At 49.1% G+C, this 25,903-nt stretch overlaps 1 protein-coding gene across 7 annotated transcripts in view; it reads left to right on the plus strand.

The window, feature by feature from the left end:
• The window catches only part of GALNT16 (polypeptide N-acetylgalactosaminyltransferase 16), a 126,707-nt gene that overhangs the window by 48,698 nt on the left and 52,106 nt on the right, over positions 1 to 25,903 (plus strand). For all 7 annotated transcript variants that reach the window (XR_007064036.1, XM_017021498.2, XM_047431618.1 and 4 more), the window contains 8 exons: positions 12,383 to 12,540; positions 16,364 to 16,462; positions 17,009 to 17,076; positions 17,634 to 17,699; positions 20,122 to 20,243; positions 23,136 to 23,223; positions 24,757 to 24,841; positions 25,169 to 25,272. Coding sequence is in view for 6 of the 7 variants with exons in the window: in XM_017021498.2 (XP_016876987.1) it covers positions 12,383 to 12,540; positions 16,364 to 16,462; positions 17,009 to 17,076; positions 17,634 to 17,699; positions 20,122 to 20,243; positions 23,136 to 23,223; positions 24,757 to 24,841; positions 25,169 to 25,272 (790 nt within the window). In the remaining variant the exon portion in view is untranslated. The remainder of the gene's footprint in view (positions 1 to 12,382; positions 12,541 to 16,363; positions 16,463 to 17,008; positions 17,077 to 17,633; positions 17,700 to 20,121; positions 20,244 to 23,135; positions 23,224 to 24,756; positions 24,842 to 25,168; positions 25,273 to 25,903) is intronic.

A 25,903-nucleotide genomic window follows, 5' to 3' on the forward strand; every position in this document is an offset into this window, starting at 1 on the left:
TAAAAGTCTTCAGTTTTCTATCTCACCCCCATGCCATTTTCCAGAGGTGACCCCTGTAGAGCGGTTTCCTGTGTATTCTTTCAGGTATACCTATGCATTTACACATGCATATGTTTATAAACTATTTATATAAAATGAATCACACTGTATATATTTATTTCTTCTAACATTCCTTTAGAATTCTAGTATAAGGATAAAGTATACTTTAATTAATCAGTTGTCTACTGATAGAGATTTATTTCCACCATTTTTATTAAAAATAATGCAGTAATTAATATATTTGTACATTTCACATATTTACATGAGTTTAATTGTAGGGCTAATGCCTAGAAATATAAGGTGACCATATAATCTATTGCCTAAACCAGGACAAGTGCTCATTCAGAAGGGCTCCAGAGAGCACAGGAATGTACACTGTAATTGTCTCAGGAAATCAAGTGTATTTTTACCTAGAAATGAAACTTCTGCTAAGTCAAAGAGTAATATTTTTAAATGCTGATGTTGACAAATAGCCTTCTGTCATGGTTATACCAATGTATCATTCACCAATGTATAAAAGCTTCTATTTCTTCAAACTGTCAAAATACTGAGAATTAATAATTATTCTTGAACTTTGCCAGATGAATTAGCAAGACATTATGTCTCATTTTAGTTTTTGACTTTTGTTTTCTGTAATTTTTTATTACTGGCAGAATCAACCAGATAGATCTTGCTTTAATTTGCATTTTTATTTAGTCATTAATGAGGTTGAACATCTTTTCATTTATTAATGGCCATTTGCATTTTATTTTTATTTTATTTTTCCTTTTTTAACATGTACTTATATTTATTATAAAAGGATATAACTCAGGAAAAGCCAGATGGAAGAAATGCATAAGGCAAGATATGGGGAAAGGGGCACAAAGCTTTCATGACCTCTTGAGATGTGCCACCTACGTTTCATCTTTCTTTCTTTCTTCCTTTCTTTTCCTTCTTTTTTTTTTTTTTTATTTGAGACAGGGTCTCACTCTGTCACCCAAGCTGGAGTGCAGTGGTACGATCATAACTTATTGCAGCCTTGAATTCCTGGGCTCCAGTGATCCTCCTGCTTCAATCTCCTGAGTAGCTGGGACTACAGCACGCACCATCATACCTGGATTATTTTTATTATTTTTTTGTGTGTTTGTAGAGATGAGGTCTTGCTGTGTTGCCCAGACTGGTCTTGAACTCCTGGCCTCAAGTGATCCTCCTGCCTTGGCCTCCCAAAGTGCTGGGATTATGGGCATGAGCCACTAGCCAGCCACACATTTCATTTTTCTATGAACTTCTTCATATCCTTTAAGCTTATATTCCTTTTTAAATATTGGTTCATTTCTTATTGATTAATAAGAGCTCTTTGTGTATTACAGAAGTTAGTTCTTTGTCATATTTTTATTTAATATTTTTTCCCAACGTGATGTTTGTATTTTGACTTTATGACATTTTTGACATATAAAAATGTTAAGTCTTTGTATAGTGTTTTCTTTTATGACATATGGGCTTTATGGCCAAGATTGAAAATAAATGAAAAGTGACCAATTTTTTTCTTTATACTTTTAAGTTTCTTTTTCAGTTTAAATATTTGAGCTACCTGAAATTTATTTTGGTTGAAGAAATTAGTCCAGCTTTATTGATTTCCACATTGCCTAGTCACTTTTCCTAACATCATTCACTGAATGGCATAGCTCTCCCTCCCCACTGCCATTTGAAGTACAAGTGTATCTTATGCCAATCCTCCACATGTATTTGGGTCTATTTCTGATCTCTCCTCTATTGATCTGTTTATAGTAAGACATACTATAAGACTACAGGTACTACTAGTATAGTAGTATTCTACTATATACTACTATATAGGATATAGATCTATATCCTATAGATATAGGATACTATTATATGAATAGCATCTGTAGTCTTATGGTATATCTTAAAACCTGGTAGGTAGTTTTTTTTTCAGATTTTCTCTGATTGTTCTCTCATGTTTAAACTCTTCCAGCTGAATCTCCCTTCCCCCAACACAGCTGTTATTTGATCAGAGTTGCATTAAATTCATAGATTAAGTCAAGGAGAATGTATGTCTTTACATCACTGAATCTTTTCCAAGCATGAGCTGTGTCTTCCCTTTAAGGTCTGTTTAACTACAGGGTGGGTGGCCATAAAGGGAAACATGGACAAATATACCTAATCAGTGGTTTATTTCTATCACATTACAATACATGAAACTGTGTTGTTTTTACTAACAATGTATGGTTCAGTGTACTGTGCAAAACTGCAATAAATGCCACATTTCCATTGATCCCTGTACATGCATCTAAAATATGCTATGATCGGAACATTTGTGTCTCTGTTTTCTGATGGAATGAAACTGCCTTTATGGCATCCCAGAAGTAATCAAAAGGGTTTTTTCTGTCTAAAAAAAATTAGGGCTGGGTGCGGTGGCTCACACCTGTAACCTCAAGACTTTGGGAGGCTGAGGCAGGAGGATCACTTGAGCCCAGGAGGTTGAGGCTGCGGTGAGCTGTGATGGCACCACTGCACTCCAGCCGGGGTGACAGAATGAGACCCCAGCTCAATAAATAAATAAAATTTTAAAAAAATAGTATTATCCCTCTTTCCAAAATTTATGGCTACTTTGTGCCTTGATAAAATGCGGGCTACAGGGGTAGAGGCAGTCCAGGGGCATGGTCTTATTGAGGGGACAGGTCACACCTGCTCCAGCAGTGGTCCTGTCTTTGTGCTGCTGTAACAGAATATCACAGCCAGGGTGGCTTATAAACAACAGAAATTGATTTCTTACAGTTTCAGAGCCTGGAAACCCAAGATCAAGGCACCAGCAGGTTTGGTGTCTGATGAGGGCTGCTCTCTCTGTTTCCAAGATGGTACCTTGTTGCTGTGTATTCCAGAGGGGACAAATGCTGTGTCCTCGTATGGCAGAAGGTGAAAGGGCGTAAAGGTGTGAACTCTCTCTGAAGCCTCTTTTATAAAGGCATTAATCCATTCATGAGGGCAGAGCCTTTCTGACTTAATCACTTCCCAAAAGACCTTACTTCTTAATACCACCACAATGGGGATTAAGTTTCAACAGGAATTTTGGAGGGGACATATTCGAACCACAGCAGAGCCTCAAAGAAAGTCACACAAGAGGCAGGCTGATTTTTCCCAAGTTCTCCTTCCCCTCTCCCTTTTCCTTACATTTAATCTGATTCAAAAAAATCTGCCTTTGTCATGCTCTGTCCTATTGGTGGACATTATTGTGAGAGTATAACCTAACCGATTAATTACTAGTCACAAACCACAGGTAATGTGTTTCTAAATTTGACCCACAGTGCCAATAATGTGCCATATCGGCCACTACTCTGTTTTTGGCTCTCTCTTCTGAAAAGTGTTATAAACCGACATGCCCAGCTGGCAATCAAAGGCTTGCTGAGTTCTAATGTGTTGAATTGGATCCTGGCCTGCTGGTCCCGACCTCAGTTGGTGGGGCAGAAGGCTGTCACCATCTTTGCAATAGTCACACTATAAGTGTTCTATATGTTATACGGCCCATTATTGCTTTTTTTTCCCCCTTAATATGTTGGGGCAGGGGTGGTGGCTCACACCTATAATCCCGGCACTTTGGGAGGCCAAGGCAGGAGGATGGCTTGAGGCCAGGAATTTGAGACCCGCCTAGCGTAACATAGCAAGATCCTGTTTCTAAAAAAAAAAAAAAAAATCTGTCTATCTATCTATCTATCTATCTATCTATCTATCTATCTATCTATATCTATCTATCTGTCTAATATATATAGTCCCAGCTACTCAGGAGACTGAGGTGGGAGGATCACTTGAGCCTAGGAGTTTGAGGCTGCAGTGAGCTAGAATCATGCCACTGCACTCTAGGCTGGGCAACAGAGCAAGACCCTATCTCTAAAAAAAATTTTTTTTAAATTAACTGTGATCAGTCCGTGTTCGATAGATACTGACTGTGAAATACCTGAAGTACAATGATGGCATGCAGACCTTGACGCTTTGCGCTTGTGACTACAGCAGAAGTGGCACCGACCTGGACCCCATGTTAGCCCAGAGGGTGTTTCTTGGGGCCTCAGTTGCCTTGAGGTTGTCCTGTCTCAGCAGTTCATCCTGCTCATGTCCTTTTCCTCAGCCATAGAGCAGGACCAGGTTGTTTGAGGGACTGGTACCCTGAGCAAGAATGACTTTGTCTCCCGTTAGGTGTGACTGCTGCTGAGGGTCATCAGGACCTTGAGGGTGTCGCTGGCTGAGAGGACCCAGGAAATCTGGTGGTGTGCTGATTTGGTCTGAGTACACAAACTCTTGTATTTTTCTGTTCTTCCATGTTCTTTTGAGCCATAGTCAAGAAGCGCATGTCCAGGCCAAGGAGTGACAGCACTGGGCAAGTCCCTATCTGAGCCACGAGCTGATGCCCTGATCCTTGAGCCAAGGAAGGAAGCGACCTCCAGCCTGAGCTTGTCAGGACTCAGCTGTGTGCCGGGCACCAGAGGCCAGCCTGCTTTGGAGCTGAGGACTCAGAATTGGCAAGAGGGGATGCCAAGGACATCTGAGCCACAAGCTGGTCTGAAGGCACACAGAGAAAGCTTTGTGCTTAGGCTCTGTGGCCAGACAGCCTCAATTTTGGTCCCGGCTAAGCCACTCAGCAGCTATGTGACCTTGGGCATACTATTGTACCTCTAGGCCTCAGTTTCCACCTCTGTAAAATAAGAATAAGAGGAGCATTTGGAGATAGAAATAAGCCCTTGGCATAGCACCCAGTGCACAGTAGACCCTCAATGAGCCGTCAGCATCAGCTCATTCCTGTTGAAGATGCCCAGTCTTCCCCCCATACTCTGGGCTACAGCAGCTGTGGCTGGAAGGATCAGGTAGGGCTTTTGTACCCTTCACAGACTCAGAGATGCTTGATTTGCACTGGCGAAACTGATAAGCAGATGCAAGCCGAGCATCACATATCTCTGGCATGGACCAGCCTCACACTCCCTCCATCCGCAGATGGCCTCTGGGCTGGGCAAAGGGCGGGAAATGGAGACCTGGGGAGCCTGGTGGACCTGGAGAGGACCCTCGGGTCTGAGCAGAGACTGCCTGGAATGGCGGGCCTGATGCCTTGGCCTAGCCTTAGGTAGAGGACCCTGGGTGGCTCAGATCCCTAGGGGAATAAGCAGTGGGCCTCCCTCCACTTTCTTGGTGAGATCACTGGAACCACAAGCACTCATAAGGCCACAGGAACTCTTTCTCAGTGAAACCAGTAGTGTTGGAAAGCTGTGCAGTCATCAGTACCCCTGGAGGAGTCATATTAGGATGTGTTGGGAAATCTAACTGGAGGCCTTAGGTGGGTTTCCCCAGGCAGCTCCTATCTCGTGTTCTGGATATGTAATTAAACTAGGGCCTCCCAGGCCTGTGGGACAGAAGTGTTGCAAGGTAGTGGATTTCCATAGTAACCATGGTGGCTCTAGCTGAGTTTCAGTTGGCTCTGCTGATGGTGAAGTTCCTGGTCAATACAAATATAGGCCAAAAACCAGACTCGCGGTTAGCCTTCCTGGGAACGGGGTCAGAGGAGATAGCCTTTAAGGTCCCTCGTAGTTCCAAGATCCTGTGATTAGCCCCTCACCATCATGAGTTTGTACAAAGCAGCGGCTCTCAACTTGGTAGCACATTGGAACTGCCTGGAGAGCTTTAAAAACATCTGATGCTTTTGTCCCACCTCCAGAGATTCTGGTTTAGTTGGTCTTGGGTATGGCCTGGACATCAGGCTTTTTGCCATCTTCCCACGTGATTCTAATGTGTGGCCAAGGTTGAGAACTACTGACAAAAAGGCAGACAACGTATATAATAATAGTTAATAACAATTCGTTAGTTAATAATAATAATCACAATTTATGTGCCAGGCACTGTGCAAAGCACATTATATGCATTGCATTCTTGATAATTTCCATTTTCCAGATGAAGAAGAAACATGTTCAGAAAGGGAAGTGACTTTCCAAGGCCAGAGAGCAGTAAGAACTGCCATTCTATACCAGAGCCATGAGAGTTCAAAGCCCTGGCCAGTCACTTCTATAATTGCCACTTTTGAGGCAATGTGCAGCAGAAGATGGGGACATGTCTGGAGCAGACTCCTGAGGGACCCTTGATACTCCACTCAGGCCTCCCCTGTACCCAACCTGAGGTTCCTGGCCCTGTGCAACCTGCAGCACCTTGTCTGGTTGGATGAGACCACTGGCAGCCCAGTGGGGTTGGCTACTTCCTGAGGCAGGCTCAGGGAGGCCCTGTGGAACCCTCCTTTTCATTTGGAAGAGTTGGAACCTGAGACCTTGAGCTCAGAGATGTCGAATTATGTGCTTAGCTTCCCAGCTCTCATAATGAATGGCAGTCTTTCAACTTGGGACAGAGAATCAGGTAAGATTTTACTCCCAGGGGAGTGGGGAGTGGTTGGAAATCACATTTTATTCACCAGGTGTTTTTGGTTTATAGCAGACTCAGGAAAAAAGTCAGGGGCCATCCATAAAATAGGGCCAGAGCCTTTTTACTTGCAGTTTCATTGAAATTTAGTGAAAGGTAAACCCAGCAGGTACCTGTTTTACTGGCAGTAAAAGAAAATTGGGCAACAATTATTTAAAATGAGTCAGAGCTGTTTAAATCTAAAATTTAGGGGTATGTGTATGTTTTAAAAGAAAGTTTACAAGGCTTGGAGATTTGGACTGAACTGTTTTTGATGAAAATGACATGGAAAATATTTTCCTTTCTTATTTTAAACCTTCTTCTTTGCTGTTTGTTTCCTAAATTTAGCAGGAAGCAATAAGCAAATCTAGCTGGAAAAAAAAACTGAAGCAAGTTAGGGAAGTTTCAAGGTCTAATCGAAATGATAGACTGAAAATAAAGCTGTCCAAGGTGAGACAGTAATTCTTCCCATTTTATAGAAAAAAGTCATTATTTCAACTTAAACCATTTCAGATGTGATTGACCTATTGGACACGGAAGTGCTGGATTTGGCACTCCCTAAAAGTACAAAGACTGGGGAGGGAGGCAACTGTCTAAACATCAGCCAAGAACTCTCAGCAGGAGGCTGGAAGGATGTGGGAGGCTCGTCAGCCTGTCACTCACCATCTCCCCAACCTTCCTTCCTCACCATGGCAACACCAGGGCTTCTGGAGCCATGGTCCAGATGGAACCCCCAGTCTCAAAGCCTGAACACCGCCCTGCCTGCTGGGGAAGGCTGGGAATGCCCCACCCAACTCTAGACTTAAGCCACTGGCCAAATGCCAAAGACGGGCCTGATATTTTGGAATGGAGTGTTGACACCAGTGACTGTCATTGTTGTCAGTGACTCACTTGTTGGGTTTTGGGTTTGACTTTGTTTTTTACTTGTGGAGAATGATTTTCTATTTATTGGAAGAACTGCAGGACTGATATCTCTGAACTTTTGGTCACTAGAGAAGAACACCCAACTCAAATCAGTTTTTAAAAAAAAAAATATGTAGGTAGGTAGGTAGATAGATACTTTACATCTCTTGGTTCTGATTGTTTCTTCTTGGTTCATTTTTCAGACAAGGTTTCTCCATGTGATGGACAAGAAGATTCTCATTTTGCACGCTTGGCAGTGCTGGCAAAAAAAAAAGTTCATTGTATAGAAAAGTCTCAGGGAAGATTCTGATTGGCCCAGATCAAATCAAATGACCATTCCTGAACCAATCACTGTGTCTAGAGGTGCAGTAATGAGATTGGCCTAGCCAGGGTCTTGTGCTCACCCTTGTGGTGGTGCTTGGGGTGTTGGTGGGACAGGGGACAGTGAATGACAGTCCTGCCAGAAGCCTATGAGTGGGGAAGAAGATCTCCAAGACAGGCAAACTACCATACGCCGGCTTGGTCCACCTCAGTCTCAAGTATTGTATTTGGCCAAGGGTGCAGGGATGGTGGGGAAAGGAGGAAGGAGAGGCTTGAGATTACACATGTATTCAGTAGCTATTGTTTTTGAGTGCCTACAATCACCAAGGTTTTTCTCTGGGCTTTGGGATTCAGCATGAGACAAAACAGAAAACCCCTGCCCTAGTGAAGCTTATAATCTTGTGGGGAGAGGTAGCCAAAACCCTAAAATAAATAAGTAAAGCACATATAGACTGTGAGATTGCAATGAGTGCCTTAGGAGAAGCAAAACACTGCAGGAGGGCAGGGAATGAGAGGGTCGGGTTGGGGTCACAGAGTTACATGTGGTGGTTGGGGAAGGCTCACAGAGGAGGTGAGGTTTGAGCAGCGTCCTGCAGGAGGTTTGAGCAGGGCCCTGCAGGCCCTACACAGAGGAGCCTTCCACAGAAAGAGAGTGTGGCTGGAGCAGAGCAAGTAAGGGGCAGCAGTGGAAGCAAGTTCAGCAAGGTGACACCTGCCCAGAGAGCGCCTCAGGCCATTGTGAGCTTGGGGGCTTGTAGTCTGTGAGGGGGGGGGGCACTGAAGGTCACGTGATGTATCACAGGGTCCCATTTGTTTGCTGTTTTCTCTCCATTTGATTATAGGTCCTTTGAGAGCAGGGACAATATTTAGGTATTCATTCATTTACTTATCTATTCCTTGATTCAGCAACCACCTGTTGAGTACCTACTGTGTGCCAGGTGCAGGGAGCCCCATGAGGAAGAGCTCACCATCTAGTGGAAAAGAAAGAGAAGTAAAGCACAAATGTCAGTGTCATGTGACATGTGCCCCTGCTTGACATAAGAATTCCACCAACAACCCAAAATACTTTCACTACCCCCTCCAGAGAGGGCAGCCAAGCTAGTCCCATCTAGTGGCTCCAAGCCCAGGATCTCCAGTCTCTTGAGCTGGTCCAGATATAGCTCCTCATGGTCCTGCAGCCAAGTGCCAAATGATGCATTTACTCCCTCGCCAATACACTTAGTGAGCAACATGGATGGAATGCAGGCTAGCAGCAGCACAGTTCCCCTTTAGAAGAGGGGAGGAGGGAAACAGCATCCACTGGTCACACGACATCTGCAGACTCCTGCTCCAGTGGGAGTCAGGGTGGGGTGAGGTTCTGTGGTCAGTTCTCCAGCTCCGCTCTGAGCTTGGGGTTGGCGGTTTCTTCTTTCTGATCCTCCATGGCCAAGCCTGGCATGGGATGGGGCATGAAAGGGACCAGATGCTTGGATTCCTGTTCTAGGGGTTATGTTGCCTTTTGTTTATTTCCACATTCCCAGCCTCTTACCCAGTGTATGTACATAGTAGGTTTTCACTCAGTATTTGCTGAGTTAATACCAGTGTTGTTAAGTACACTGCCTATGAATACACAGGGCAGACATTGAATCAGGCTATGGAGCATGGGAGGGCATCAAAGACGATTTTGTGAATTCATGACTTGGGTGGAACTGCTCATCTCGGCAACAGGGAATGCAGGAGAAGCAGCAGCTTTGGGATAAGTGGGGAATTTGTTTTGAGATGCCAAGTTAGGGGCACCCGTGGGACATTCAAAGACCTGAAGTCTCAAGATCAAAGAATGGGGCTAAAGGCAAAAGGAGGAGTTCAAGAGCTGGAAGGAAATGATTATGATCTGGGCATGGGAACTGGGGTTACATATCGGAAGTAGAACGGCTCTGGGTGGTGACCGGGGCGAGGCCAGAGAGAGCTGAGGAGAGAGGAAGTGAAAGCCCTTCAGAGGTCATGGAATTGTGGCCAGGAGCCACAACCTACCCTTCCTCAGGATCCCCTTCACTTCACTGGCTCAGGGCCAACTGACATTTCAGCTCCAACCCCAAGGAACAGCAGGGTCATCCTGAAAGGAGAGCTAAGGCCTCTGGGCCTGTTGTTTCCATGACACCTGTCTCACAGGTGAAGAGTCAAACCCCAAACCCTGATACCACCTGGAGCGGGGTTGGACCACCCAGAGAGTATGGCTTGTGGAAGGGAACAGCAGACTTTACTTTTCCCAATAGCATCTTTGAGGATGTGTAACTCAATTTCGAGGCCTTGGGAGGAACCTCTCTAGAGAGCCTGGGCCTGAGCAGACATTCTTCCCCAACAGTCTCCATGGCCCTGAGGAAGCCTTGAATGAAGTGGGGAAGGCAGCAGGCTGGGGCAGGGGGAACTATCTCAGAAACCTTACTTCTGCTTCCTGGCACATAGGAGGCGCTTGGTGGAGCTTTGTTGAATGAATGCATGCATGAATGGATGAGTGAATGCAAGCATTCATAAACAAATGAATGCATGTTTAGGTGATTCAGAAGGGTGCCCCAGTGCCTGGTAGATGGGTGACTGTCAGTCAATGTTCACTGGGCAATGAATGAGTGTGGGATGAGGACTCAGAGGTTTCCTGAGCCCACAGAGTGGCCGTAAGTCCTAAATAAACAAACATGGCTATTTCCCACAGCTGACCTGGAGGATAACGAAGTGCATACTCTCCCTTTGGGAGCTTCAGCAAATCATCCCTCTGCAGTTTTTCTTTAATTTTAGCTCCTTTGCCATCAACTGGAGGCTCCGTTCCATTTCCCTGACCTAGAGCTAAGAGGGCATCCATCGCTCTCCCAGGTGGGAAGGACAAAAAGAATCACTCTCCCTTTCAGAGTTGGATGGCTTGGATCCTTCTGGCGATCCAGGGCCCAAGCCAGAACATTCCTTTTGTCCCTCTCTCCCTCCTTCCTTCCTTCCATCTTCCGTCTTTCCTGAAATGGATTTTGAGTTCACTGGGGGCTCCGCCACATCTGTTCAGTCTCTGGCATGGCACCACCTCAGTGTTCCACACAGCAGCCACAGCAGTGTTACCATCATGAGCATCTGTGTCTAGCATGGGGTGGGCCCAGTGGACACGAGGACATCTCCCTCACTGTTCTGCCCTCAGGGAACCTCCAACTGGCTCCTAGGACAGGAGGCAACCCTAGAAGGTAGTATCGCTACAGAGTGGCAGCAGTTCAGGAGATCAGAGCTCCCCGGACCCTGGGCATGCCTGTCCAGTGAGGTCGGGGGCTAGGCTCTCAGGGGAACATAGAGGCCCTGAGCTGCTGGTGACAGTCCCAGTGTCATTCCACACAGCGATCCACTCCCCACAGGTCTAGCTGCCTTGCTGGGACCATCCCTCTAGGACTAGGCCTGTGATAGCATCCTCATGCAAGAGTTTTGTGAGTGGGCAATTCTCACCCTCCTTTCTGCTTCCTCTGGGGCCCCAGCTTCAGCCCAGGGCTGATGGTTGGGCGGAAAGTTGGAGTTGGGATGTACCCACAGTTGATGATATTTCATGGCACTCTGGAGAACATCCAGCCAGCAGTTTGGTTCAAGTAATGAGATGTCAGGGTGCTTGCATCCATCTGTTAATTTCAGATGTGTCCTTCCCCAGTGTCTGTTGCTGGAGACTCTGGGAGCACAGGGTAGGGTGTGGCCATGAAGGAACGGGATGGGCAATGGCATCTGCCATCCATCACTGCCCAGCACTTAGTGCCTGGGGACCAGTGGATCTTACAGGGGCCATTTCAGGAGCAAGCAAAAGTCCCAGAGAAGATGCATCACTGTCTGAGCACTTGAGTTCTGGTAGCTCTGGCATCAGCCTGCAGGGGTTTGCTGTCCTTACAGGTAGTTCTTTATGCAGCAGATTGTCCAAGCCCTGGTGTTTTACTGATCGGGTGCCTCATATAATGCCTAGGCCAGGGCTAGGCCCAAGTTTCTGCCTAGGAGACTGTCAATCTGCAGGCGCTTGGCAGCATCCATTCTGGTTTGTAGTCCCCTCAGGACACCTTGCCTTAGAGGTCTGGTGCACTCCAGGACTCACCCCCCCAATATCCCGCAAAGAACATTGGTTAAGAGCATGGGCTTTGGAGTCGGAATGACCAGTTTAAATCCAGACCTTGTGACTTAATAGCTCTGACCCTGGATGCTTTTTAAAAAGCCTCTTGATGGCCGGGCGCGGTGGCGCATGCCTGTAATCCCAGCACTTTGGGAGGCTGAGGTGGGTGGATCACTTGAGGTCAGGAGTTCAAGGCCAGCCTAGCCAACACCACGAAACTCCACCTCTACCAAAACTATGAAAATTAGCTAGGCGTGGTGGTGCGCACCTGTAATCTCAGCTACTTGGGAGGCTGAGACAGGAGAATCGCTTCAACCTGGGAGGCAGAGGTTGCAGTGAGCCAAGATCTGCACTCCAGCCTGGGTGACAGAATAAGACCCTGTGTCAAAAAAAAGAAAAAAAAAAGAAAAAAAGAAAAAAAAAGAAACCCTCTTGAGCCTCAGTTTTCTCTTCTGTACAGTGGGGGAGATAATGGTCTCCTCCTCATAGAGTTGGCGTAAGGCACAAATGAGGCCACGTGGCTGGCTCCCGCCTGGTGTGTGCTGAGCACTCGCCAAGCAGTGGGGTCCTCCTGCCTGTGGTCCTCTCTGATGCTGACCTTCATCTCAGGTGACAGGAACTCCCTCGAAAGGCTTTGATGAGAAGGCCTACCTGTCGGCCAAGCAGCTGAAGGCTGGAGAGGACCCCTACAGACAGCACGCCTTCAACCAGCTGGAGAGTGACAAGCTGAGCCCAGACCGGCCCATCCGGGACACCCGCCATTACAGGTACGGCCTCCATCGTGTCAGTGGAGGAAGAAAGACTGAGAGAAAGCCAACATTGTTTAGTTTGTCTTCTTTTACGTGTATCTAAGAAATGAGGATGATTTCCTCAGACTGTGTCCAGTGATTTAGACATTCAAAAACCCTCACCCTCTGTTGCTGGTTTACCTGGCCTACTGAGGCCCTGCCAAGACCAAGGAAACCGCTCCGCTGGGGCCAAGGAGGCCCCAAGGCACTTCAGTCTGGCGCCCCAGCAAAAGTGACCTGGGAGGGGACCAAAGGAGGTCCGTGGCAGTGGGTGAGCCAGGCGCTCTTGGGGCCTTACTGGTGGTGCCTAAAGTGGAGAGAGTCACAGCCCTGCACATTGCAAACAGTGGGGTGCTGTGGCCCACCCCATTGACCTCCCTTTCCTGCACCACAGCTCCACCTCCTCAGCAACTCCCAGAAATGCTTCCTAGTCTTGTTCTTAGTTCTCTCAGTATGGTGAGGTGGGAGAGGCCTTAGACCAGGACCAAGGAAGCCTCCACTCTCATCCCAGCTCAGTGTGCGTGACCGGCCTTAAGCAAGGCATTAGCCCCTCTCTGGGTCTATGCCCTTGTGTGTTCTGTCTAGAGGGTGAAAGTCACCATCTCCAGTCTTTCCTCTTCCTGCCGTCACCTGCACGAACAGTCTGAGTTCCTGATGCTGAAGCACCACCCCCCGCTCCCCATGACCTGGCCTTACCCACCTTTCCCCCAGCACTTGATGGTCCTGCAGTCCCAGATTCCTCCCTCCTTCCTTCCTTGCTTTCACACATGCTGTTTCCTCTGCCTAAACGCACCTCCTCCGCCCCACCTACCCTTTGAGCTACTTGGCTCACTTCGAGGACACTTGGCTCACTGTCCTCTCCTCCATGGAAGGCTCCTTCCCAACCCGGGCTAGGTTGGGCCCCTCTTCTGTGCTCTGTGCAGACATCTCACAGAATGGCCAGGGCGCTGTTGGAGCTGACTCACGGCTGTGCCTGCAGCTGTGTGCTCAAAGCTAGGCTGGGCCTCCGTCTGGTCCTGGCTTGAGGGTAGCAACAATGACTTGGATCAAGGTTGCTTTTACTTCTGAAGCAGCTACTCCACAGCACAAAGGGTATAGGTGAGGTGAGGGTGCGAGAGGGCCTGGTTCTAGCACCTTCCTTGTCACTCACAGATGCATGCCTGAAGTCCAGGGTGCTTGGTGGCCTGTGCAAGGTGAGATGAACACAGGGCTGGGGGAGCCCCAGACCTTGGCCTTGCTGTCCTGTAACGCCAGCACTGTCAGCCTCCAGAAACCACTCATGCAGCCAAGTAAGGCAGTACTCCTGCTTCGCGGCAAGGACACCACCAGGCCTGCTGGCTGTTTCTGGGCCTCAGAAGTTCTTTCTCACCCAGTCCTGGGCAGCATCCCCTCCTGTCTGCCTGTGCTGCAGAAGAGGTTACATCCACATAGCTCCACTTAGAGACCTTTCATGGGCAGCCCTAGCCATGGCTGACCTAGTCCCAGGGTCTAGAGGATCTGTTGGCCCCAATCTGTGAATTGAGGGCTTGCCCTGGATAATCTCTGTTCACCCCCCAGCTTACCTGACTCTGAACCGCCTCAGGTGCTCACTGAGAAACTTAAAGGGGGAATTGCCCTGGGGGCTATGTACATTTTTAAATGAGACGCTTTAAATCCAGGGTAGTGGTGGGTTGATGAGGTGCCACATGCTGCTGCTGGGCCCTGTCAGAAAGCTGAGGTGGGCCAGGCACGGTGGCTCACACCTGTAATCCCAGCACTTTGGGAGGCTGAGGTGGGTGGATCATTTGAGGTCAGGAGTTCAAGACCAGCCTGCCTATCATGGTGAAACCCTGTCTCTACTAAAATACAAAAATTAGCTGGGTGTGGTGGTGGGCACCTGTAATCTCAGCTACTCGGGAGGCTAAGGCAGGAGAATCTCTTGAACCTGGGAGGCAGAGGTTGCAGTGAGCCAAGATCGCAGTACCGTACTCCAGCCTGGGTGCCAGAGTAAGGCTCCGTCTCAAAAAAGAAAAAAGAAAGCTGAGGTGGCTCACGGGGTGTGTGTGTGTGTGTGTGTGTGTGTGTGTGTGTGTGTGTGTGTGTGTGTGTGTGTGCGCGCGCACGCGCGCACGCATGCACACGTGTAGGGAAGCAAAGGACGTGCTGGCTTTAGTGGGCAGGCCTCCTGCCATGGTGGGGCCAGTTTGCTGGTAGAAGCTGCTCTTCCTTGCAGCCCTGCAGGCTGTAGTGTCCGCTGGACTCCAAATTGTCAGGTTCATTTCTGGTCCAGCCTCAATCTAGGGAGCCCGCTCCAGGGGAGCAAAGGGACATAAACCACATAAGACAGGCCGAGGAGGATCACAGAGAAAACCCCATCAGCTCCAAACTCAAAACTCAGGGCTGGGACAAACCCCTTTAGAGGCTCCTGGCTCCTGGGAGCCAGATAAACCCCCATGCTAAGTAACATCAATCCCAGAGGCATGCATGCCGAAAGGGCTGGAGGGAGCCGGTGGGGAGGTCAAGTTCACCCTTCAGATGGGGTGTGGGTGGGTTTGCCCCCTTCAGGGAGACGTCACTGTCCCGATTCCCTCCTTTCTGGGCACCGGATGGTTGGGGGATCAGGACAGAGGACTGGGGCCCTGGAGGTCAGCACTGGGAGGGTGCACACTTAGGAGGTATTTGCTGCTCCCAGCACACCCCAGCTCAGCCGGCCAAGCTCACTCCCTCCCCCACAATTCATAGGCCCTTGAACAGCATGGTTTCTCAAGGGGTAGAAGGCAAATTTCCCTCCGCCACCACTACCCTACACCCCCTCTCAAGGAGAATTATTGCACAGCCTCTCAAGATTTCCCCCAGGGGGGTCCCAGGCTAGTGGGACTCCTGCCTGTCTGACCTGGTCTGCTCTGCAGGGCAGGAAACAGGCCTGGGAATTCGGGCTGTAAGCTGCTGTCAGTAGAATGAATGCCACAATGAAAAAACGGGCACTGGTGGAATAGTCAGAGAGCAATTGTAATAAAGAAGATTGCTATGAAAACCAGCAACGGAGGCCACCTTCCAGCACCCCAGGAGCTCAAATAAATGCATACGCAGAAACAACAGGGATGAAGTCTGGCAGGAATGAATTGTTTTCACTCCCTTTCTAGAGGAGAGGGAGCCAGTAGGCCAGAAAATGTGGTGTCTATGGATGGCTGGGGAGGGAGGAAGTGACGGGATAGGCCTTTGGTGTCTTAACAGAGGCTTGTTTCCTCCAGGGGACCCAGTACCCTGGGAGGAGTGAGACTGCTCCCCAGCTTGTTGTCTGCAGCAGGGCTGTCAGTGTTGGGCAGTGACAGGGAGGAATTCCCTGGCAGCCAGGGTAGGGGTGATTCCTCTGCAGATTCTACCAAATGTCCTGAGCTGGGAAGAGAGAAGGAAGAAACTCTAGGGTATCAGGACAAACAGAGGTAGTTTTCCCTCTCGCACATACCCCCCACCATACGACAGAGTGTGGTCAGGGCTGTATCCTGGGGCCTGGTGCAGTATCTGTATATACTAGGGAGCCCCCTCTGGGGGCTCTGAGATCTCTGGTAAAGAGCCCCCAGGCCTTGGAAGGTCTCCCAACCTGCTGCTTCCCTCCCAGGACCCCAGGATGGGTGGCATCGGGGTTCTGGGCCAGTGTGGGATGCAGCATGGGGGTGGAGGCGCGGGGCCTCTGGCCTGGCTGTTGGTGTGCCTTCTCTGCCTGGCAGAAGTATTCTCAGGCACAAGACTGGACAAAGAAAAACATTGACCTGCCCTGAGGATGCCCTCATGGCTGGCTCTGACCTCTGTGCTCCCTTCTCAGCTGCCCATCTGTGTCCTACTCCTCGGACCTGCCAGCCACCAGCGTCATCATCACCTTCCACAATGAGGCCCGTTCCACCCTGCTGCGCACAGTGAAGAGGTAAGTCCAGCCATGGGACTCTCATCTCAGTGGTGCTGGCAGGGGAGGACATTGGGATTGGGCGCTGTGGCCAGACAGCTTGAAGCCCAGCAGGTGCTGGAGGCTGAGTCCTGTACTTCTGAGAGGCTGAGACTGGTGAATCAGGGCCAGGAAGACCCCAGAAGTCAAACTGTTAGAGGAATGCGACAGTCAAACACCAGGTCAGATGTCCAGGACAAGGGCAGAAATGCAGGTGTCAGGAGCTGAGGGAGGCCGGGCTAGACAGGAGGCCTCAGGAGGGTGATGGAAGCCCAGCAGTGTCTGTCAGTGTCAGAGAGAGGTGGATTGGAGGTGGATTCTTCCTGCTAAGCCTGGGCTTGTGGTCAAGTTGAACTCCCATCTCCCCATTTCCTCAATGAACTTAGACAAGAATAGGATTCAGGTAGGAGCGCCCAGCATGCTGGCCCTGGAGCTGGGCGGCTGGGGAGTCCCACGGCCCCGGGAGTGGTAAAAATGGGAGGTGGTTCCTAAATCCAGGCTCTTTCTCTGTTTCCACTGCTACTGTAGTGTCCTGAACCGAACTCCTGCCAACTTGATCCAGGAGATCATTTTAGTGGATGACTTCAGCTCAGATCGTGAGTAGTCACCTTCCTTTTTGCAGCCCTCCATTCCGCCCTCGTCCCTGTTTCCCCAGAACACCAAGGCAAGCACCCTGAGGTTGTCCTGACCATCGCAGACACCTTTCTGCCCCCAGCAGGGATCCTGTCTTTTCTAGGACCCCTCCCTGGTCCTGTTCCCTGGTGTCAAAGGAGGGGAAAGAAGGGTGGGTGTTGCTTTGGATGGGACTCTAGTGAGATGATATTGTTTTTAAAAAGTAAAGAAAATCAACAGCATCCTTCATTATTACAACTGCCAAATGCAGATGATAGCTGGGCTGGTAGCCACCCCCAAGCGTGCTTTCTAGTGCTCCCTGAGGTGGAGTGGAGTACTGCCATAGGTACAGGCACTCCTCAGTCTGGCCTGAGAGTGGGGCAGGGCAACCCTTCGGCCAGTAGTGATGACCATACCTCTTCCCAATCCCCATCCCCAACCCTTTCCTGGGCTTAGTATGGGGCAATTTTCATGGCAGCCAAACCACTAGTGGCCTGATGCCCATGTCTAAATGAGCTTGCCTTCCTCTTTGCATCCTCAGCGGAAGACTGTCTACTCCTGACCAGGATCCCCAAGGTCAAGTGCCTGCGCAATGATCGGCGGGAAGGTGAGTCCTTGCACCCTGGGTCCCACCAAGGGCCCATCTTGGTGTCATCCTGTGCACTTCCCCACTCTCTCTTGGTGCCGTGGCACACCAAGCCAACATGGTCCTGCTGCATTCCTGATGGCTGAGACCAGGTTCTGCAGAAGACTCTCCTCCTTCCCAGATCAGCCCCATCAAGGCACAACTGTAGGCAAGTTGCTCCATCTCTGACTGCCTTAGCTGTCTCTCCTGAGAAATGGGATAAGACAGTCCCTTTCTGCCTTGCAAGGTGATTGTAAGGATTGCATGAGACAGGCTGTGTGGAAAGGCTTTGAGAAAAATCCAGAAGCATAAAGCAGATGTGATCTCACTTCCAATCCAGATGTGTTTTGGAGTAGCTACTACAGCGTGGCATTGTGCATGGCACTCTAGGGGACACGAAGGAAGTACAAAGCATAGTCCCTGCCCTCGGAGAGCTACTACATAGCCAAGGGGTCAGAATCCACTGCAGCCACAGGCTGGCTGTGGTTGTGTATGAATAGCATGGATATCAGAGGAGAGCTGGAGTGAGCAGGGAAGGCTTCCATGGAGGAATGGGCCTCAATGGGGTGTGGGGGCATCATGAGACAGGTAAAGGGGAGCAAGGGAGGGCATGCCAGCTTGTGCACTCTGCAAGCAAAGGCATCAGTCAGGGGTATGGGCATGCGCAATACTAACAGCCCCTTTCCTGAGGTCTCCTCCCCTGCGGGCATCCGGTTTGCTACTTTCAGTCCTTGTACTCAGCCCACTGTGCCTGTTGTACAGACAAGGGAACTGGGGTTTAAGGAGCTTCAGCGATTTGCCCAGGGTGATGAATAGAGCAGCCATGGCTCCAACCTGTGGGGCCCAACCCAAAGGCCAGCCGCCTACTCATACTCATACTCCCTTCCTGCGAGACCCCAGGCCTGGTCAGCATGGGGAATAGATGGAGTGAATTGAGATGATAGAAGACCTTGGAAGCCAGAAGAAAGCATTGACTTCATAAGGCAGAGGTAGCAGGGAGCCACTGAGGTTTTAGAGTAAGAGAGGGATGTGATTGATATGTTTAAAATAATCCCAGCACTTTGGGAGGCTGAGGCGGGCAGACCACTTGAGGTCAGGAGTTCAAGACTAGCCTGGCCAATGTGCTAAAACCCCGTCTCTACTAAAAATACGAAAATATCTGGGTGTGGTGGCACATGCCTGTAGCCCCAACTACTCAGGAGGCTGAGGCAGGAGAATCACTTGAACGCTTGAACCCAGGAGGCAGAGGTTGCAGTGAGCCAAGATTGCGCCACTGCACTCCAGCCTGGGTGACAGAGCGACACTCAGTTTCGAAAAAAAGAAAGAAAGAAAGAAAGACCAGTCAGGCCAAGGGGCCACAAGAATACCAGTGAGGGAGACCTTCAAACCAGAATGGAAGTGGCCGAAGTTAAATCCTTCCCAAGCCACTGGGCTGTAGGTACCGTCAGGTCTGGGAATATGCTGTCCCTGGATTTGACAACAGTAAATGTAAATTTATGACTCGATGCTTTGTAGACACTTTTGGAGTGGAGATTGATGGGCTTTTGGCTGGCTGGCGGGCTGGTAGGCAGCTAGAGGCAGAGTCTGGGGCAGAGGCATGGCTAGGGAAATGTCTCCAAGGAGCTGCTTATACTCAGAGCTCTAAGAGTGAGGCCCTTCCCTCCCACAGCTCACAGGGCACACATGGCCACTCTGGCAGGGGCAGGAGAAGCTGGGCCTCCTCCCTCCTGACCAGGCAGGTCTCCGCCCAGAGCAGAGTGCTGCCCAAAATGAGGCTGGTGAGGCTATCGGGGGACAGGCACAGAAGAACAGAACCTGACATGTGTGGGTCTCCCAGGCACCAAGCTCTGTCCCTGTCGTCTTGTTTGATCCTGACAGTCAGGGATTATTATCTCTCTGAATCTTATAGATAAGAAAACTGAGGCTCAGAGCGGTTAAATAACATGCTGAAGGTAAGGAAAGGGGCTGCCATACAAACTTAAGCCTATCTTAGTCTCGAAGATTATCTCCATGCTACACATAGGGGTATGGATGGAGGGGACGACCCAGAGGTTCCCATGGGAAAAAGTTTTGTTTTCTGGTTCTCCTTTGGGATCAAACTACTTTATTGCACTTTCCACGCTCTAAACTGTGACTGTTCATCAGTGTGTCCCTAGAGCCCAGACAGTGACTGGCACATAGAGGGCACTCGGGGTGTGACCCTGGAGTGATGGTGGTTGATGGGTGGATAAGAAGAAGCAAGGGAGGGAGGCAGGAAACAAGCAGAAGTATAAAGTCAAATCTAATCACAATAACTCAGGAAGCCTCAGCCCCTGAAGGAGAGGAGAGCCTTGGGACTTTGGGGGACAGGTGGGAAGCCAGTTGGCCCAGTCCCAGCGCCAAGCCCTATCTACTCCTCTTGTAGGGCTGATCCGGTCCCGAGTGCGTGGGGCGGACGTGGCTGCAGCTACCGTTCTCACCTTTCTGGATAGCCACTGCGAAGTGAACACCGAGTGGCTGCCGCCCATGCTGCAGCGGGTGAAGGAGGTGAGCCACTGTCTCTGGGGAGCTGGGCGTCCTTGGGGACTCAGCCACTACGTTCCTGGCACCGAGGCCTATGGGACAGTATTTGAAGCTGGGCAGGCATCGTAGGAAGCCCAAATAGTCTACTTCCCCCTGAGTGACTTCACCTTATTGAGTTTTCTCATCTGAAAATGGGGATAATTGTCATAATTATCCCACTGGGTTATTGTGAGAATGAAATTGGATGAAAGCCTGGGTGAGCTACAAAGCTCCTGCTACAAATGGGTGTTGTTTTTCTCCTTGGAGAGTTAGGATCCTGTGCTGGGAGAGCTTTTGTTCGGGCTGGGAAGCCCTTGCAAGAGGGAGCAGAGGATGTTGTTCTCAAAGAGAGGAGAGGGTAGGAGGGCCCCTGCCACGTGCCTACTGTTCTCCAGAACAGGGAGGATTTGGACAGATGGCAGAAAAGGATGAGGTGATAACAACCCGACCATAAAAAGACAAATAACCCAATTTAAAAATTGGCAAAGGGGCCTGGAGCGGTGGCTCACCCCTGTAATCCCAGCACTTTGGGAGGCCGGGGAGGGCAGATCACCTGAGATCGGGAGTTCAAGACCAGCCTGGCCAACATGGTGAAACCCCATCTCTACAAAAGTACAAAAAGTAGCTGGGCATGACGGCGGGTGCCTGTGCTCCCAGCTACTTGGGAGGCAGAGGCGGGAGAATCACCTGGTCCCGGGAGGCAGAGGTTGCAGTGAGCCAAGATCACACCACTGCACTGCAGCCTGGGCAACTGAGCGAGACTCCATCTCAAGAAAAAAAAATTGGCAAAGGATTTGAGTAGACATTTTTTCAAGGAAGATATAGAAATGGCCAATAAGCCTAGGAAAAGATGCTCAGCATCATTAGTCATTAGGGAAGTGCAACTCAAAACCATAATGAGATGCCACTTCACACCTACCAGGATGGCTAGAATCCAAAAGATGGACAATAACAAGTGCTGGCAAGGACATGGAGAAATAGGAGCTGTATCAGGCCATTCTTGCATTGCTATAAGGAAATACCTGAGACTGGATAACTTACAAATAAAAGGTTTAATCGGCTCACGTTGTACAAGCATGGCACTGGCATCTGCTTGGCTTCTGAGGAGGCCTCAGGGAGCTTTATTCATGGCAGAAAGTGAAGGGGGAGTAGGTACCTCACATGGCGAGAGTGGGGGCAAGAGAGAGTTGGGTGGAGGTACTACATGCTTCTAAACTAACCAGATCTCACGAGAAGTCACTTACTGTCAGGAAGACAACACCAAGCCATGAACGATCCACCCCCATGACCCAAACACCCCTAACTAGGCCCCATCTCCAACCTTGGGGATTACATTTCAACATGAGATTTGGGGGGATAAATACCCAAACCATATCAGGAGCCTTCATATATTGCTGGCAGGAATGTAAAGTAGGGCAGCCACTTTGGAAGGCAGTCTGGCAGTTCTGCGAAAGTTTGAACATAAGTTAGTTAGCATATGACCCAGCAGTGGAGCTGCTAGGTGTAGACCCGAGAGAAATGAAAACATATGTTCACACAATAACTTCAGAGCAGCACTATTCAGAATAACCAAAAGGTAGAAAAAATCCAAATGCCTATCAACTGACGAATGGGTAAATAAAATGTGGTGTATCCATACAACAGAATTATCCAGACATTAAAAAAATGAAGAACTGATACATGCTACAACATGGATGAACTTTGAAAACCTACGTGAAGTGAAAGCCAGTCACGAAAAGCCATACATTATATGATTCCTTTCATAGGAAATGTCCAGAATAAGCAAATCTATAGAAACAGAAAGTAGATTGGGTTTCTTGTCGGGGTGGTGAAATGTTCTGGAACAAGATAGTGGTGATGGTTGTACAATCTTGTGAATATACTAAAAACCATCAATTGTGTACTTTAAACCTGTGATTTTATATCTCAGCACAAAAAAAAGTCTATAAAAAGGATGAGGTGAGGCCCTCCACAGAGCACTGAAAAACCATCAAAGGTCTCTGTTGATCAGCCCCATCCCGGGCTTCCGTTATCCTGATCTAGGGTGGGAACTGAGGGGCAGAGCTGGATTCCAAGTTCCAGACAAGAGGATTTTGGGGGTGAAAGCAGAGTGGGGAAGGAGAAGAAAGAAGAGGCTCTGTTCCGTGTCCCCCATGGAGGGCGAAAGATGAGAAGGCTCATGAAGGGTGATGAAGTTTTACATGTGGTATATGACATAATCTACCACCCCAAAAAAGAGGCCAGCAAAATCAACATTATTCATCAAGGTTTTGGATTTGGATTTGTGTTCTGGGAGGTGATGCGGGGAGTGGCGAGTCTGACCTTGTAACAGTGGATGTGGTATGAGAGGGATAGCACCCAGATTACATGGGGACCTCGGAGCCCCTGCCCTCCAGCTGCTAGTAGTCCCATTGGGAAGACTCAAACAACTATAATACAAAGGTAAATGATATTAATAAAGCAACAGTTCAGACCAGAAATAGAAGAGCCACTTCAGGCAGCACAGTGAGTCACTGTCCCAGGAATCATCTAGGCTGTCATTGTAAGAGTAGCTTAAAAGAGGAAAAAATCCTTCAGCCTGCAGCAGTCAAGGAAGGCTTCATGGAGTAGGTGAGATTCTAGCAGGGCTCAAAATAATGTGTGAGGAAGAGGCTTGGAGAGTACATGGGAGCCAAATAGGAACATCCAGGAGCTTGGGTGTGGTGATGCAGGACAGCTGCCAGGAGCCTGCCAGGGTTGAGGGGTGGCCCTGGGCATACCCTGCAGGAAGTGCTGAGTGCCCCATGTCTCAGAGAGGCCTTCTCCCCAGAGCAGGCAGCTAGGCCTTTTTCTGCAGAGAAGTCCCAGGCCTCACACCATCTCACATCTCTCTCCTAGGACCACACCCGCGTGGTGAGTCCCATCATTGATGTCATCAGTCTGGATAATTTTGCCTACCTTGCAGCATCTGCTGACCTTCGTGGAGGTGAGTTCTGCTCCCGGGGGTGGGGCTGTAGACATGAAAGGAGGTAGGTGAGGCTAGGCAGGCAAAAACCCTTGCTTGCTGCTCTTTCCAGCTGTGCCAGAGACCCTCATGAACACCCCTTCCACCACCTCCAAAGAGAAAATGAAGAGGGATTGGGTGCAGCCCTGGGACTGGGGACAAAGGAGCAGAGCTGGCAGTTGCAGGCTTCTGATACAATCAGTAGCAGAGCCAGACTAGTCTCTCATCTTTCCCTCCCTCCAAATATTGACACTTTCTTCCCAAATGCTGCCAGCCTAGGGATCATGGCCACAAGTCCCGGCAGAAGGCCATGATGTGACAGCTGTCTTGAGGATGGGGAGTAGGGAGCCCTCAGCCTCACATGACTTCCTAACACATGCGCCCCAGAGATGGTCAAGACCAGTGTTGTGTATGGCAACTATCAGCCACATTTGGCTATTGAGCTCTTGAAATATGACTAGTCTTGAAAAGTGACTAGTTGGAATTAAGAGTGCTATAGGCATAGAAGACCCACAGGTTACCCAGACTTAGTGTGAAAGAATGTAAGATACCTCATTAGTAATTTTTTGTATTGATTACATGTTGAAATGACAATATTTTTGATATATTACATTAAAAATATTTCGTCCAAATTAATTTCATATATTCTTTTTCTGATGTGATTACTAGAACATTTTGAATTACGTATTTGGCTTACATTTGTGCCTTGCATTATATTTCTTTTGGACTGTGACGGGCTGTTCAGTACAGTAGATAATAGTCACCTTTGGTTACTTAAACTTGCATTAATTCAAATTAAATAAAACTTAAAAGGCAGTTCCTTAACTGTACTAGCCACATTTCAAGGCTCAGTAGCCACATGAAGTTAGTGGCTACCATATTTGACAATGCAGATACAGAACATTTCATCATTGCAGAGAGTTCTATGGAACTGTGCTGCTCTAGAGAATCTGTTGCTGGGAGCTGGCGGGCACAGTGGATTTCCTGTTTGGGATCTGGACTCCCAGTATATGGACCCAGCCATTAGTTAGATTGTGAGTCTGAGTGGGATTCTGAAGGGAGCCAGGCATTTCCCCTTTGGGAAATCACCTCAGGGCTTTGGCACTGGCAGCTGCCCCTGCCTTGAATTCCCTTTCTCCAGGTATCTTCATGGATCTATCCTTCATTCAGGTCTCTACTCCAAAGTCACCAGAGAGCCTTTCCTGACTATTCTAACTAAAATATTAATAGTATGGGCACTCCTTCTTTGTTTTCTTCTTTTTTTTTTTTTTTTTAGTACTTTCATCCCCAGCTGACATAGTCTCCACTGATTTATTTATCTTTGTAGCTTCTGTCTTACCCAGTAGATGGTACACTTCCTGAGAGGAGGAGCTTGGCTCATTCCGAATGAAGGAGGGACTGCACGAAGAGCCCAGGGCTCTGATCAGGGGAGACTCCGAGGGGTGGTGGAGTGAAGGGTCTCAGCAGCCCGCAGCTCTGCCCTGAGCTCTGTCCTCACCTTGCTGTGTCCCTTAGGGTTCGACTGGAGCCTGCATTTCAAGTGGGAGCAGATCCCTCTTGAGCAGAAGATGACCCGGACAGACCCCACCAGGCCCATAAGGTCAGAGCTGCGGTGGGCTCTGGGGGACCCCTTCCTTCCCTGGGTCAGGGGCCTGGGAGGCTCTTGGGAGGCTGTATCGGTCGCTTGGGCTCCTGAGGCGCACTAAGTGCTGACTCTGTTCTGGGCCTTCGGACCCTGTATGCAGGGACAGCGAGGACAGAGGCCACGGGAACAGATGTGGGGGGCCAGGGAGCTGGCCAGACATCCTGCCCCAGTGACTCTGCAGGGAGGGATCTAGAGGCAGACGGTCTTGGGTCCTGGGGCCATCTAAAGGGCCTCCTTGCTTCTCCAGCTCACGTGTTGCGTCTTCCCTCTCCTTGCTCCCAGGACGCCTGTCATAGCTGGAGGAATCTTCGTGATCGACAAGTCCTGGTTTAACCACTTGGGAAAGTATGATGCCCAGATGGACATCTGGGGGGGAGAGAATTTTGGTGAGTTGGGAAATAGTGACAGTGAAAATAACAGTAGCAGTAATAACCACAGTTAACCCTGACAGAGCACTTTCTATGCGTGAGGACCTGCTCTAAGGACTTTACACACATGAGGTCATTTAATTCTCTCAAGGACCCTCTGAGGTAAGTACCATGATCTCCATTTTACTGATTTTAAAACCCAAGGCACAGAGAAGTTAAGCAATTTGTCCAGAGCCACACAGCTAGTAAACAAAGAGGTTCTATTTAGGGGGAGCCCGTGGTCACATGGCTGGACATGTGTGTGGAAGAACACACAACTGTATCACAGACCACAGCTTACACACGTGGCTGCTTCCCTACCAGCAAGGCTGGGAGGTGTGTGGTAGAGGGTGGTGGTGAAATGCTAAGTGATGGAGTCAGATGGCCTGGGTGCAAACCCTGACCCTACCACCTGCATGCTGTTTGGCCCTGGGCAAGTTAAAGCCCTTTAAAGTCTGAGTTTCCTCAAGAGGTTGTTATGAGTACTAAATGAGGTGATGAGTTAAAGGCAGGTCACAGTGCTGGTGGCCACTGTCATTAGGCAGTCTCTAGACTCAGAAGCACAGGAAGCTGCCCCTCCCTGCCCTGAAGCAGCAGCGAAGGAGACAGA

This window comes from Homo sapiens, chromosome 14 (genome assembly GCF_000001405.40).
Source record: "Homo sapiens chromosome 14, GRCh38.p14 Primary Assembly".
Classification (NCBI taxonomy): domain Eukaryota; kingdom Metazoa; phylum Chordata; class Mammalia; order Primates; family Hominidae; genus Homo; species Homo sapiens.